Genomic DNA, 15,645 nt, shown 5'->3' with positions numbered 1-15,645 from the left:
ATATCTTACTGTACACAATCTATGTGCTAAATGCTTTATGTTCATAATCTCATTTCATCCACACCATATCCCCACTTATCAGTGAGGGAACTGGGGCCTAACTAGGTTTAGTGCCTCACCTCAGGTCTATTAAGTTAAGAGACAGCTTTTCCACCCAAGTCTCTACAAAATTAATTTTTAGCCACTAAATAAACTTGGATTGCAAGGGACAAATCTAACTCAAGCTTCTTAAGGAAAAACAAAGAGGGGTACAGGAGGAAGATACTCTTCCTGAACCATTGCTCAGCACTGTCTATCTGTGCTTCTCTATGCACATCAGCTTTTCTCTCCTTGGTGAGGACATGGCAGTTCCTGGCTCACATACTCCAGAGAGGCAGGAAGTTTCCTCTCTGGCTTCAATATAGAAAATCCTGGTGGGAGATGAGTTACTGTGATTGGCTCATTCTGGGCTCTGTGCCCACCTCTGTAGCCAGAGGGATGGAGATTTTTACCCAAGGAAGGAGGGGAGGGATGCTGGGCTTACAAAACATCACCTTCCAGCTTCACAGATTAGAGATGGTGCAGGTGGAAGACCAAGTTCCTGGATTAGGTACTCAAGGTGAAGGCAAGCTGCCATACTTGAAAGCAATTGGAAAAATCAAATCTGTTGATAGAGAGTACAGTGAACCTTGTAAATTTTTCATTACTGAAAGGATTTAAAAAAATGTAAAGCATTAGTACAGTACCTGCCACATAATAAATGCGCCATAAATGGTGGCTTTTATGATTCACAATTGGTGCCAGTTGGAATCCTGATTTTCCTCTCTTGCCAGCCTCATTCTTGGCCTCATTGTGTCAGCCACGTTGCATTTTCCCAAATGTGCTGTGCACTTTTATGCCTCCATACCCTTAAAGATGCTGTTCTTATTACCTACTGAGTAGTTTATCTATGGAGACATTTCTATGAGTTTTTAAAAATTATTATAAATAGAGATGGGGTCTCACCATTTTGTCCAGACTGGTCTCAAACTCCTGGGCTCAAACGATCCTCCTACCTCAGCCTCCAAAAGTGCCGAGATTACAGGCATGAGCCACTGCTCCTGGCCTCTAAGATTTCGACTATATTACCTGAGTTCTTTGAGACTGAGTAAGGAAACAAGGGATGTAATATTTAGGTTTTCAAACAATAATGACAAGATTCTACACCATTGGTTACTAAAGAAAATGGGAAAATGTTTTGTTAGGAATCCAGATGATTGGAATAAATGGGTGATGATCTATATGGGGAAGTATTAACAATGTGGTCATCTAAGAATGAATGCTGAGACAGGTCATGAAATATTGGTGTGTGGGTTAAAAATCATCTATAAATTACCTGCTGAAGCACATGGTGAAATCTCCAGACATGCTCTTTACAGCAGTGAAATGCCAAGGTGCTGGAGATAATCTTGGGAAATTTTTATTACGAATAAAGAAGAAAAATGACAGATGCTCTTCTGTAAGGGTCACTGTAGGAAAAACAACTGAATATGATGATGTAGTGAATGGAACTACTTAATAAGAACAGCATCTATAAGGGTATGGAGGCATAAGAGTGCACAGCACATTTGGGAAAACGCAATGTGGCTGATGCAGTATGAGGCCAAGAATGAGGCTGGCAAGAGAGGAAAAGCAGGATTCCAATTGGGACCAATTGTCAATCATAAAAGCCACCATTTATGGCACATTTATTATGTGGCAGGTACTGTACTAACGCTTTACAAACTTTTTTGAATCCTTTCAGTAATGAAAAATTTACAAGGTTCACTGTATCCTGTATCAACAGGTTTGATGTAGTGAATGGAATTACAGGAACAAGTCTGGGAGTCGTCATCCGTCATTCCTTACCCAATACACTGGTGTATTTAAACGAGCCAGTGGAATGCTGAGCATCATAAGGAAGAGGATTCAAAGCAAAACAGTAAACAGGAGGGTTCCTTTGAATCTCTTACTTGAACTAGGCAGTTGAAAAGTGATTGGCGTCAATAAGATCCTGAAGCCTTTGCCAAATATTAAAGAAGTAAAATATAGGCCAGGCAAGTTGGCTCATGCCTGTAATCCCAGCACTTTGGAAGGCCGAGGTGAGAGGATCATTTGAGCCTAGGAGTTTGAGAACAGCCTGGGCAACATAGTGAGACCCCATCTCGGCAAACTTTTTTTTTTTTTTTTTCTTAATTAGCCAGGCATGGTGGCACGTGCATGAGTCCCAGCTACGCAGGAGGCAGAGACAGGGGGATCATTTGGGCCCAGGAAATCAAGGCTGCAGTGAGCCGTGATCATGCCATGCCACTGCACTTCAGCCTTGGCAAGAGAGCAAAACCCTGTCTCAAAAAAAAAAAAAAAAAAAAAGTAAAATGTATGATTTCAAATAGAAAAAGGATTGCAGAGCTGTGAGCAAACTAAGGCAGGTACAAAGGTTGAAATATATTTTAAAATTATTTGGGGGAAAATACATATAAGCACAGAAAAAAGGATGAAAGGCAATAATACCCCCAATTTTAAACTGTATATTATTTCTGGGTAGTGGGATTATAGGTGAGTTTCATTTCCTTCATAAATTGTATCTTCAAAAATTGTTTTGCAATTGATAGGTGATTTCCAGTTACACCAAATAATTGTTTTACAATTATACTCCCACCCACTGAATGGGTTCCCTTTGTTACATAGATTCATCATCACTCCGTGTAGTCATATTTTGTAGTTTTGCCATTCTAGTGGACTGTCAGAACACTACATAGACTATGGGACAATTTTTTGTAATGCCAAACGCGAACGAAACTAAGCCGTGTTGTTTAACGACACATTTTCATGTGGTAATAAAACTTAGAAAATAAGGAAGGGTGAATGATTTACATAAATTTAGGATAATTTTCTTATATCCCTGAATGGGGAAGGGTGGGGTCCTGGTGAGGATCGGATGGAAAGGCCTGCCTGAGGAGATTCAGTGAATGTTGGTAAAGCCCTACTTCATAAATTAGGTGGTATGTTCATCATGTTTCATAATTTACATATTATTCCGCAATTTTCTTTTTTTTTTTCTTGACATGGAGTCTCACTCTGTTGCCCAGGCTGGAGTACAATGGCATGGTCTTGCTCACTGCAACCTCTGCCTCCCGGGTTCAAGCGATTCTCCTGCCTCAGCTTCCCAAGTAGCTGGGATTACAGGCGCCCGCCACCACGTCCGGCTAATTTTTGTATTTTTAGTAGAGATGGGTTTCGCCATGTTGGACAGGCTGGTCTGGAACTCCTGACCTCAAGTGATCCGTCTGCCTCGGCCTCCCAAAGTGCTGGGATTACAGGTGTGAGCCACTGCGCCTAGCTGCAATTTTCGATTATAAACATTTAAAACTTAAAAACTGGAAGGCACCAGGCCTCAAGTGTACTCGCAACCCGCTCCGGCGGCCAAAGCACCCTGGGCCAGCTATTTGGGCGCGCAATCGCCCCATGGGGGCGGAGCCTCGCCACCCAGTTCACGCCTGCGCTCTGCGTCCAGCCAATCAGCGACGTGTCCGGATGAGGCGGGACTGGCTTTTCTCCTGTGCGAATCCCAGCTTGCCTCAGAAGCGTCGCGGAGAAGGGGCCACCTCAGGTGAAGCGCGCTTGTGGAGGAGTTGTGGAGGACGCCTGTCGACGACCAGTAACTGGTCCTCGGCCATTGCGGTGTGTTTCAGGTGTGAGCAGGGGAGGCGTCTGTCTATCGCAGGTGTCCAGGCCAGAGGCTGCCCTTGACCAGTGAGGTAAATCTTACCTCCTGGCGTCGCCTGGGGCCTCTGACGAGAAAACGGAGGCCGCGAACCTGAGGACAGGGCCTTGAGCAGGATAGGGCCTAGTGGAAAGCGGGCGGGCTGGGCTGGGGCTGGGCCCCATCGCTACACCCTGGGACCACTTACAGGAGGGACGCGGCGGGGCCGGGCAGGGCCCTACCTCGCTCCGCGCGTCTCCCTCCTGCCCGCTCCACGCCGAGGGCGCCTTTCGTGGTTCCTCGATGTATTTGTTGTCGAAATCTTCTGCCTGTGTTCATTTTCCGAGACCTAAATTGCGGGACGTTTTTATTATTTGTCTTGATTATTATGAGCTTATTTCTGGCATCCTCATGTCGTGTCCCGCCAGCAACTATAATTTCCCCGCGTGACTGAGCGCCCTGCTAGAGTTGCCCAGATTTAGCCAGAATCTGGCAGAGGCGGCCCCAAAATTTGGAACTCCCAGGCCTCAGGGGCCACCTCTCCAGCACTGCGCGCTTGGAGTCGGGGTGGACACTGTCATTCTCTCTCATCGATTGATTGATTGAGACGAAGTCTCACTCTGTCGCCCAGGCTGGAGTGCAGTGGGGCCATCTCAGCTCACTGCAACCTCCGCCTCCCGGGTTGAAGCGATTCTTCTGCCTCAGCCTCCTGAGTAACTGAGATCATAGGCACCCGCCACCGCGCCCGGCTAATTTTGTATTTTTAGTAGAGACGGGGTTTCACCATGTTGGCCAGGCTGGTCTCAAACTCCTGACCTCAGGTGATCCACCCACCTCGGCCTCCCAAAGTGATGGGATTACAGGCATGAGCCACAGCGCCCGGCCATTTCTGTTGTTGTTTTTTTTTTTTGAGACGAAGTTTCACTCTTGTCACCCAGGCTGGAGTGCAGTGGCTGCGATCTTGGCTCACTGTGACCTCTGTCTCCCGGGTTCAAGCGATTCTCCTGCCTCAGCCTCCTGAGCAGCTGGGACTACAGGCACGTGCCACCACGCCCGGTTAATTTTGTTTTTTTTTTTCAGTAGAGACGGGGTTTCATCATGTTGGCCAGGCTGGTCTTGAACTCCTGACCTCAGGTGATCTGCCTGCCTCAACCTTCCAAAGTGCTGGGATTTCAGGCGTGAGCTACCGTGCTTGGCCTATTTATTTTATTATTTTTTAACAAATGTCATTATCTTCTTAACTTTTGGCCCCCCAAATAAATGAGGAAACTGTTAAAATTGTATTCAACAATCCTTGTTCGATATCTCCTTTGATATTTAAACTTTTACCAGTGTATTAAAATGATGTCTTTGCATTCAGAAGGTTAAAGAAATTTGTTTTTTAAAGTCAGGAAGCATCTAAATATGGTGTCCTCCGGAAAAAAGTATTCCAGGAAATCTGGGAAGCCGTCTGTGGAAGATCAGTTTACGAGAGCCTATGACTTTGAGACTGAAGATAAGAAAGATCTGAGTGGATCAGAGGAAGATGTTATTGAAGGTGCAGTACATCTCATGTTGGGCAGTGATGTCCTTCAGTTCATTTGTTTTGAACCCATTGAGACTATCGTACAACTTAGTTTGTAAAGCATTTTCAGGTATGGTCTTCCCTCCCCCGGTATTTGTGGTTACAGAACCTGCTGACACGGATGGCCAGCTGTACTTGTGTTTCTCATTTGATCCTTATATTGCAGTATCGGAGTTACAGAAGCTTATTCGGCAACTCTTGCTTTTGCAGTTATTTCCAAAATATCTGATATATAGTATGTGGCTTACTGTGACATTAACCCAGGGAGACTTGAAAAATTATTCCTATAAAATGGTCCTGAATCCTGATTTAATTTCACCTAACCTGCAGAGAATATTGCATTTTTATGTCTGCTTTGAAACTGTATGTTGGCAAAAAGCCTAAAAATCCCCAAATGAAGATGTTTCATTAAAATTTACCAAAATAACCTATTCAGTTTCAAAAGCTTTTTTTTTTTTTTTTTAATTGTCAATACAGGGAAGACTGCAGTCATTGAGAAACGTAGGAAGAAAAGGTCTTCTGCAGGAGTAGTTGAAGATATGGGGTAACGTGTTCAAAATAATTTTTGTTTCTTAGATAAAGCACTTCAAGAAAAGTTGCTAACAAATAATATATGTAAAATACTTGGCATCTGGTATTTCTTCCAAAACAAGCATGGTATGTTGTGGATCTTCTAAAGTGTTTAAAATGTAATTTCTTTCCAGGGGTGAAGTGCAGAATATGCTGGAAGGAGTTGGAGGTAGGTTTTAGGAGATACTTGTATTTAAAGAAAATTGTTTTAAGCCATATAATTTGTATAATAACAAATGTTAATAATGGACTATAAGACTGTTATTTAATGCCTTGTTCTCACATAGAAGATTCTGCATAAGTATTTGTGATTTAGCATCACAGATTTTCATAGTTAATCTTTTCCATGATGTTAAGAGTGAATGGTATTTTATACATATGTGAATTTAATGGACTATGGAATTTTAGAAGAAAAATGCACAGGAAAAGTCTTTACCCTTCTTTGTATTCACAGACTAAGTGATACACACACACACACACACACACACACACACACATATACATACATACATATATTTGTATATAAGTTTTTCATTTTTTCAGTTTAGTTATTTTCTGACTTCCTATGCTATTTTCTTTAGGGAGGACAGTGTAAATTAAGCCTCTAAAATAACTCTTTTTACATTAATAAACTATGTAGTTGATACTAAAGACAATTTTGCTAGATAGAGTTTTATAATTAGGTTCAAAAATTCTCAAGTTTTAAATAATATATTAAGTATCAATAATATGAGCTTTGTTAGAGATTAGTTATCTTAAAAAAGAGTTAATATTTAGCTCCTCTAAATGGATTGTTCATACAGTCAACTCTTTTTTGAAACCTTTGCTCTGTCCGGTGGTGAAACAGTGCTTGTTTTATAAATTTATTATAGATAATACTGAAAGTATAAAATATTTATGTAATAGTGCAGCTACAGCATGATTACTGAAAGATACCTATTTATGGTAGATCCATAAGATAAAGGCTTATGTTTAGCAAAGCATTATTTGAAGTAGTAAACATTTTATGAAATGCAGTTCTTATGGGTAAAAATGCCCAATAAAGAGCTCCACAAAAGCATTTAAAACTGATCTTATTCACCTATTTCTCATTGAAAAATAAAGTGATCTTAATTTATCTAGAAATTTACTTAAACTAAGATTTTTTTCTGTCCTTGGTCTTTGTCTCTTAGTAAAAAATGTATTTAAAAGTATCATTGATGGCCAGGCACAGGGGCTCACACCTGTAATTCCAGCACTTTGGAAGGCCAAGGCAGGAGGATTGCTTGAGGCCAGGAGTTCAAGACCAGCTTGGTCAACATAGTGAGACCCCCGTGTCTTTAAAAAAAAAAAAATATATATATATATATATATAAAATTGATTATATTAAAAATAGTTTTCTTCTTTAACTATTTTTATCCTTTTTGGATTCTTTCTAATAGAGTACTTTTACATATTTTCTATAATGAGTTCTAACAATAATTCATTGAAATGTGTCCTTTTAATTGGGGTGTATTTTATAAATTTAGATAAATTTAGCCTTTTTAAAAATTTTTTTTTATTTTTGAGACGGAGTCTCACTCTGTCCCCAGGCTGGAGTGCAGTGGTGCAATCTCAGCTCACTGCAACCTCTGCCTCCCGGGTTCAAGCGATTCTCCTGCCTCAGTCTGCCAAGTAGTTGTGACTACAGGTGTGCGCCACCACGCCCAGCTAATTTTTGTATTTTTAGTAGAGACAGGCTTTCACCACGTTGGTCAGGATGGTCTCGATCTTTTGACCTTGTGATCTGCCTGCCTCAGACTCCCAAAGTGCTGGGATTACAGGTGTGAGCCACCGCGTCTGGCCTACATTTAGCCTTTATTAACAGTGTTTTCTCATGGGGAAATTTAAAGTCTGTCCTTGACACATTGTTTTGTTTATTAGCTCTTTTTTATTGTTCCTAAGTTAAAAAATTATCTCCAGTTAGGAAAATCAGAATTTGGGTGCTAGTAGCTGAGAGTTTTCTCAGAAAAAAAAAGTAAGCAAACAATTCTGCATTTTGAAATTATGCCTATTTCTAAATTTAAGTTTAAATGTCTTTCCAATATTGTTGAACCAACCTTACCCATATTTACTTGAATATGTGGGAACAAAATACTTTTTTCAACATTAAATTTTAATGAATTTTTATTTTCAATCTAGTTGACATTAACAAGGCTCTTCTTGCCAAGAGAAAGAGACTAGAAATGTATACCAAGGCTTCTCTCAAAACTAGTAACCAGAAAATTGAACATGTTTGGAAAACACAACAAGATCAAAGGTAAGGTGGTTGCTTTTTTTTTAGAGCCACATTTCTTAGTATTTACTGGTATAAATTACTTATGAAAAATACTATTCTAGGATCGGCACGGTGGCTCATGCCAGTAATCCCAGCACTTTGGGAGGCCAAGGCAGGCAGATCACTTGAGGTCAGGAGTTAGAGACCAGCCTGGCCAACATGGTGAAACTCCATCTCTACTAAAAATACAAAAATTAACCAGGCGTGCTCGCTTGAACCTAGGAGGCAGAGGTTACAGTGAGCCAAGGTCGTGACACTGCACTCTAGCCTGGGCAACAGAGTGAGACTCTGTCAAAAAAAACAAGAAAAGAAAAATACTATTCTAGTTACTGGGGTTTCTAGTGAAAATGTATTTGGCTTGATTTTTCTCTAAGTATGATAGTCCTGTAGCCCTATAACCTCACTCCTTCATAGAATTGACATTATTTCCTAAAAAATCAATAAAGATCACTTTTTTCCTTTTAGGTAACAAGTGAGGTTATAAAAGTAATTTCGTTTTTTGTTGTTGTTTTATGAGATGGGGGTCTCATTATGTTGCCCAGGCTGGTCTTGAACTCCTAGGCTCAAGCGATCCTCTCACCTCAGCCTCCCAAGTGCTGGGATTATAGGCATGAACCACCATGCCCAGCCTAAAAGTAATTTATGTTCATTCTAGAAATACACTAGTTGAATAAAAGGTAAATGTCATAAAAACCGTTAGTCTTATGATGGTGAATTATGTTCAACAATGTAGAAGAACACCAATCTTGTATCGTATATAATTTGTATGTTTTAGCTGACTTAACTCTTCTTTTGTATAAAATCTTTTGTTAAGCCAAAATAGGGAAAAAAATTAAGCGAACTATTTCTATTTAGAAATCTTATAGGATAAATACAATCACCTTATTTAATGTATTTGTTATATCAGAATCTATATTCAATAGGAAAAAAATGAAAAATAAACTGCTTAGAGATCAGATGAATTTCTTTTTGAAAATTTATATATACAATAAAACTTCCTTAGTTTTCAAGAGCTAAAGCTTGTGACAGGGCTTTTCTTCTATTAGTTTGTTAGAAAAAAAATACTTCTGGAATCAGTGTAAATCATAATTTTACTTTTTGGTTTCCCATCAGAAGACTTAAGCTGCAGGTATTTCCTTTTCTTATATAGTATAACTGTGTCAACTCAGTTTTGTTTTAAATTCTTTTTATATTGGTATGAAATATGACAATAATTCATCATTATGTTTTACAGGCAGAAGCTTAACCAAGAATATTCTCAGCAGTTTCTGACTTTGTTTCAGCAGTGGGATTTAGATATGCAGAAAGCTGAGGAACAAGAAGAAAAAATACTTGTTGGTATCATGATTAGGTTTATAATCAACCAAGTCTCAAGTAGGAATGGACAACCTAGCCTTTTATTGTGACCAGTGGAACTGAGCCAGGTTTCATTAACCATTGCTGGCCATGTGTTTTAAACCTACTGAACTGTAAACCACAGACGTATAGGCACATACCATACTCATAAAAGGCATTTATATTGTTTGGGGTTCCTGCATTTCCAAGTGACAGAAATTTGTCAAAGTACAAAAGAAGGATCATTGGTTTATGTAAAAGAAGTCGGGGCAGTTTAGCTTCAGGCATAGCCAGATGGGAACAGGGAGGGGGTTGCTCATGTAGTGTCATCTGGGTTCTGTCATCAGTACTTAGTAAGGTGTCTTGATGTAGTAAGCAAGATAGTTTTTACAGTCCTAGGCTTATTACAAGTTTAGTAACCCCAGTGGACTGAGAAAATCTTTCTCAATAGCTCTGGCAAAAAATTCCTCTGGGAAAATATGACTGATGGGAGTTTGGATCATTTGCCCATTCTTGAACCAATCATTGTATAGTTAGCCCTCTGTATATAAGGGTTCCGCATCTGTGTATTCAACCAATCGTGGATGAAAAATATTTGGAAAAGGCTGGGCGTGGTGGTGGTTCATGCCTGTAATCCCAGCACTTTGGGAGGCCGAGGCGGGTGGATCACCTGAGGTTGGGAGTTTGAGACCAGCCTGACCAATATGGTGAAAACCCATCTCTACTAGAAATACAAAAATTAGCCGGGCTGTGATGGCGTGTGCCTATAATCCAAGTTACTCAGGAGGCTGAGGCGGGAGAATCACTTGAACCTGGGAGGCGGAGGCTGCAGTGAGCCGAGATTGTGCCACTGCACTCCAGCCTGGGTGACAGAGGGAGACCCTTTCTTGAAAAAAAAAAAAAAAGAAAAAAGAAAAAATGCAAATTGGAAAAATAATCCAGTGTTACAACTATACAGCATTTACATTGTGTTAGGTATTATAAGAGATCTAGAAATGATTTAAAGTATGTGGAAGGATGTGCATTGGTTATATGCAAATATGATGCCATTTTGTAACAGGAACTCGAGCATCTGCACATTTTGGTCTCCTGAGGGGTTGGGTGTCCTGGAACTGGTCCCCCCAGGATACCTAAGGATGTCTGTAGTCAGAACATTGTTGACTTTTAATGGCCAGACTTGTGTTACCTGCAAGTGAGGATATTGGGGGTAGGGATGACAGTGTAAAATAGATAGGATGGATTTGTGGCACTGATAGATTATTGAGCTGTAGTACTAAAAAGAGTAAGTTAGAATGGTAAAGAAGTAGTGGTTAAATACTAGGATAGACAGAGAAACAGTATGTATAATGGTTAGAGCCTGGATGCCAGCAACAATACTGTTTTGGATCAAATTCTTGTTTGAGCAATTGTAGCTGTGAAACCATGGACAGATTATGCCTCAGTTTACTCATCTATGAAAGGGGAATGCTGAGTATCTATCTCTTAGAAAGTTTACCATTACTAATACTGTGTAGTGGTTAGAATTATTAGTAATGACAAAATCTAGGGTGGGAGTATGTAAGTCAATGGCTAAAGTAGGGTAGAGGCCAAAATCATTGAGAAACAGGTCACGAAACGGAAAACCATTATTATTGGAAGGATCATCTGTGTGGACATTGAAATCACCAAGAATTAAGACATGACTTGATTATTGTTAAAATTTCCCATTCAGCAACTGGTAGAATTAATATATTGTTACATATTAGTGGTGAACATAAATTATCTAAATGTGGTCATAATAGTTGTTAAAATTTTAAAAGCATTGATTTTTAACACTTTCTTTTAAGTTTAATGTAGAATTATTTTTTCTAAATTTAAAATTTTACCCAAATTGTTATTACACAGTTTTTTTTCTTTTATATTTGTAGAATATGTTTCGACAGCAACAAAAGATTCTTCAACAATCTAGAATTGTTCAGAGCCAGAGATTGAAAACAATTAAACAGTTATATGAGCAGTTCATAAAGGTTTGTTGTATGTGGTAACACAATACATCGTTATAAAACATAATATATTTATGGAAGTAGAAGATAATTCTTTCTAAGTTTATGGGAAAAAACATTTTAGACTTTAACTACTTTTCCATTTTGAATTCATTGTTTCTGATTTAAGTGATAAATATATTTTTACTTGAGGATTCAAATGGTTTTGTTGGGATTATTCAAGACAGGAAATGGTAAATTGGGAATTTTACTTAGAAATATACTTATCATGCATAAAATCCATACTTTAATAACACTTCAGTCATAGTTCTCTGTTTAAGTGAAAATAGACTCTATAATAATCATTTTTAGGTTGTATTTTACTTGTTTTTTTATCCCCAGTGTTTGTTAAATAGAAAGTACCCAAATTATTGAATTCTCTTGTTTTCAAATGTATTATAGAAGTATTTTATGGCACATTTGCTTTTAGAATTATTACAGTGACCAAAAATGAATTTATATCCAACATAAAATAACAGATATAATAGACATCTGAGGATTAAAAGTCTGTGGATTGATAATTATCTACTGACACATACATATTAGCAAATTGTAGTCTGTACCCCTCTTGTTCAGGCAGAAATATACTTTTTAGTAACTATTCATAGAAGCTCAATGGAATCTTGCATATACTTTTTTTCAGTGGTGGTTCCTTTAGATAGTCTTGTGCAAATACATGTTAAAATAACATTAAAGGAATTGGGATGCTCTAAGTAAACTAGCAAAATTGTTTTAAAATAAATATTTCAGAATAACTTTAATATATATGGCCGAGCACAGTGGCTGACACTTTGGGATGCCAAGGCGAGATCACTCGAGCCCAGGGTTTCAAGACCAGCCTGAGCAACATGACAAAACCCCATCTCTATTAAGAACAAACAAACAAACAAAAATAGCTGGGCATGGTGGCACTCACCTGTAGTCCCAGCTACTGGGAAGGCTGAGGTGGGAGGATCACTTGAGCCCTGGAGGCAAAGGTTGCAGTGAGCTGAAATCGTACTACTGTACTCCAGCCTGGGCGACAGCGAGACCCTGCCTCAAAAAAAAAAAAAAAAAAAAAATTATACACACACATGTTATTTTAAAAAGTATTTCCAAGTGGAAAACTTGTTGTCTTGTTCCAATGCTCTGAGAACCATTTGGTAGTTGGTGTGAAGTTTTGATAAAGTACTAGATAAAGATTTCTTCTAAATGTTATCACTAAATGTTACTATTTAGGATAGGAACTATAGTATAACCTTTGACTCTTCCATCTCCTTTCTCTGTCACATCCAGTTATTACTAGGCCCTGTAATTTTTACTTCTGCAGTGGTTCTTTCTTTTAATGCCCACTGCTACTACCCTAGTTTAGGACCTCATTATTATTTGCTTGTACCATTAAAATTCTTAACTGATGTCTCTGTTCTCCAATCTATCCCTCCTAGATCTGCCATATTATCTTTTAAAAATATATCTCTTCCCTCTTGAAAAACTGTCAGTAGCCTCCTGTTCTAAATTCTTAGGTATTGAAGATCCCCCTATGACATGACCCTCTTTTTAAGCTTCATTTACTACATTTGTTCATTACCCCACCCCTCCACATAACTGCTTTCTCTCAGCTCACTATGTACTTCCATGCTTCTGCTTATGCCCTTCCCCTAGAATATATTTAACTCCTTTTTCTTTATCTATTGAAATCTTAGTATTTTGCCCACTAAATTGGAATTAATCCCCATTTTCCACTATATCACCACAGCAAGTTGTGCTTCCATTCCTATTATAAAATTTTTGTTTTGTTCCTATGTTTTTTTCTCATTGCCATCAGGAAGCAATCATGTATTATTGTTTTTTAATTTCTCTACAGCACTTAATACACACCTTTTACATAGTAGGCACCAGATTAACTGTTTGTTGAATGAATAATAAAGACGTAAGACATAATTTTTATTTTTCATAATGTGAAAGAGGTTGTACTATAGATTATTTTATTCCCTCTAGTGAATTCATGGCACACTATTAGTCATAAGTAGATTATTGCTTGATATTTGGAAAGCTTAATAGAAATGGTTTTTACTGATGTGGGACTTCCAGTCTTTTTTATCTTGACCTTAACAGTTCAGGAAACCCATTGTGGGCAAAGTATACTACATTGTACTTCCTATAACATTTTATTCATGTCTTATATTTTTTCTTTTTTAGTAGGTATTTTGGTATTCATGTATTACTTAGAATATTTTTATTTCAAATAGATGAGCATTTGAATATTCAAAAATTACTACTTTTGAAAATTAATTGTACAAGTTTAGAACCTGAGATGAAAAGTGGTCCTTTGTAACTTAACTTGTCTTTTGTGTTTTTAGAGTATGGAAGAGTTGGAGAAGAATCATGATAATCTACTTACTGGTGCACAAAATGAATTTAAAAAAGAAATGGCTATGTTGCAAAAAAAAATTATGATGGAAACTGTAAGTGATCATATTGAAATTGAAAAAATAAGGATTAATATAAGCAATGAAATATTTTATTTGCTGAAATAGGTATAACACTTAAATAAAAATTAAACAAATGTTTAATATCTCCTTCCATGAAACAGCAGCAGCAAGAGATAGCAAGTGTTCGGAAGTCTCTTCAATCCATGTTATTCTGATGACTCTTTGAAGAAAGAACTTGAACCTAAGTAATATGATACAATTATAACGTTAGCTAAGAAGCATATTGTAAGTCTTTAGAATAGTTTAATTGTAACATCTTTAATCATAAACCTGTTTCATTGTAAGACCTCCCTTTCTGTTAAGTCAAATCTAAATAGTTATGAGTTAGTTAGCAACTATTCCTAAAGAATATGTATTAAGCTTTCAGCTCTTTAGTAATGATAGTGAATTTTTCTCTCTAACACTGTCAATTAAATAAAGACGATTTAATTTTAGGTTTGGCTTCATTGTATCTCTATCAATCCCAAAAGGTAGAAAACCAAGTATAGAAGGTTATGTTCTTTAAGGAAAAAACGGAATACAAAATCTATTTTACATGTACATCCTTTTCTATATACTTAAGTTGTACAACCGATTCTAATGACAATAAGATGCATTTAAATTTGTGTTCTGGAATAAATTGCTAAAATCATTAACCTCTGAACATTAAATCACTAGCAATAGAACAATATATAAATAACAGTTTTAAGACATGGATTTGTGAATATGTCATTGCCACAAAGACATAATGTCACTTCATTGGGCTTGGTCTGCAATTAAATTAAGAGCACATCATTAACATACCTAATTTCTTATGGTTTATATATATCACATCTGCGTTTATTTATTTTTTGAGATGGAGTCTCACTCTGTCACCCCAGCTGGAGTGCAGTGGAGTAATCTCAGCTCACTGCAACCTCCGCCTCCCAGGTTCAAGCGATTTTCCTGCCTCAGCTTCCCAAGTAGCTGGGACTACAGGCACTTGCCACCACGCCCAGCTTATTTTTGTATTTTTAGTAGAGACGGGGTTTCGCCATGTTGGCCAGGCTGGTCTCGAACTCCTGACTTCAAATGATCTGCCCGCCTCGGCCTCCCAAAGTGCTGGGATTACAGGTGTGAGCCACCATGCCTGGCCTCCTGCTTTTCTATGTTTTAAATTCTAATTTTTGCCTGTATAACTCACCCTTATCTTAGTTATAATAAGGTTTTCCAAGTTTTAAAAAAACAGGTGCCTACAGATAAACTTTTTCTAATTGTGACAACCTACTTGTACAGGAAGAAATTAGTCTTCCACCATTAACGAATATTTGACATTATTTCCTAAATTTTTGAACTTTGTAAAGGATTTTCCTTTTAAGCCAAAGTATATATTATTAGAATATAAATCATAAGTACTATTCATCCTTGTAAGAAAGTCCTTATTTGGGAAGTTTTACCAATAGTTAGTTAGAGGCAAAATAAGTACTCCAGTGTTTTCTGTGTACTTAATTCCCATAAGTATGTTTTTTTGCTTTTAAGGAATATCATCTTTCACTGTTTTCTTCAATATACCTTTTTCTTGCCTAAAACAGATGTAGTACACAAATTACTCCTTTTTTTTTTTTTTGATTACTTCATCATATGACATATGGTCTGTTGAACTATTATATAAAATTAAAAATAAATAGGGTCAGATGGGAATCTGAAGATTTGGATCCCCAGAGATCTT

General features: G+C 37.8%; 2 protein-coding genes across 14 annotated transcripts in view; one reads left to right on the top strand and one right to left on the bottom strand.

The window, feature by feature from the left end:
• Window positions 3,578-14,392, top strand: SYCP3 (synaptonemal complex protein 3). Of its 9 annotated transcripts, none has more exons than NM_001177948.2 (9): window positions 3,578-3,678; window positions 5,092-5,237; window positions 5,742-5,808; window positions 5,969-6,003; window positions 7,996-8,113; window positions 9,366-9,465; window positions 11,374-11,472; window positions 13,827-13,931; window positions 14,060-14,392. In NM_001177948.2, exons 2-9 carry the CDS (start codon window positions 5,105-5,107, stop codon window positions 14,111-14,113), a joined length of 711 nt encoding a protein of 236 aa, NP_001171419.1. In that variant the 5' UTR covers window positions 3,578-3,678; window positions 5,092-5,104; the 3' UTR covers window positions 14,114-14,392. The 9 variants fall into 9 exon arrangements, with proteins under 9 accessions (NP_001171419.1, NP_710161.1, NP_001171420.1 ...); NM_153694.5 differs by having other exon boundaries at window positions 3,578-3,689; NM_001177949.2 differs by having other exon boundaries at window positions 3,578-3,689; window positions 5,088-5,237.
• The window catches only part of CHPT1 (choline phosphotransferase 1), a 31,435-nt gene continuing 29,755 nt past the window's right edge, over window positions 13,966-15,645 (bottom strand). For all 5 annotated transcript variants that reach the window (XR_245946.3, XR_001748818.2, NM_020244.3 and 2 more), the window contains one exon: window positions 13,966-14,139. Coding sequence is in view for 3 of the 5 variants with exons in the window: in NM_020244.3 (NP_064629.2) it covers window positions 14,095-14,139 (45 nt within the window). In the remaining 2 variants the exon portion in view is untranslated. The remainder of the gene's footprint in view (window positions 14,140-15,645) is intronic.

Source organism: Homo sapiens, chromosome 12, assembly GCF_000001405.40.
Source record: "Homo sapiens chromosome 12, GRCh38.p14 Primary Assembly".
In the NCBI taxonomy this organism is placed as follows: Eukaryota; Metazoa; Chordata; class Mammalia; order Primates; family Hominidae; genus Homo; species Homo sapiens.
Note: the sequence above shows the minus strand (reverse complement) of the source record. Positions and strands in the feature narration are given on the sequence as shown.

Excerpts from the sequence above, each read along its gene's own strand:
- SYCP3 (XM_011538421.4), top strand. The coding sequence starts at position 5,105 with ATGGTGTCCTCCGGAAAAAAGTATTCCAGGAAATCTGGGAAGCCGTCT. Across the intron at positions 5,809-5,968 it reads GGAGTAGTTGAAGATATGGG|GGGTGAAGTGCAGAATATGC; the intron begins GTAACGTGTTCA and ends ATTTCTTTCCAG. Across the intron at positions 11,473-13,826 it reads TATATGAGCAGTTCATAAAG|AGTATGGAAGAGTTGGAGAA; the intron begins GTTTGTTGTATG and ends TTGTGTTTTTAG.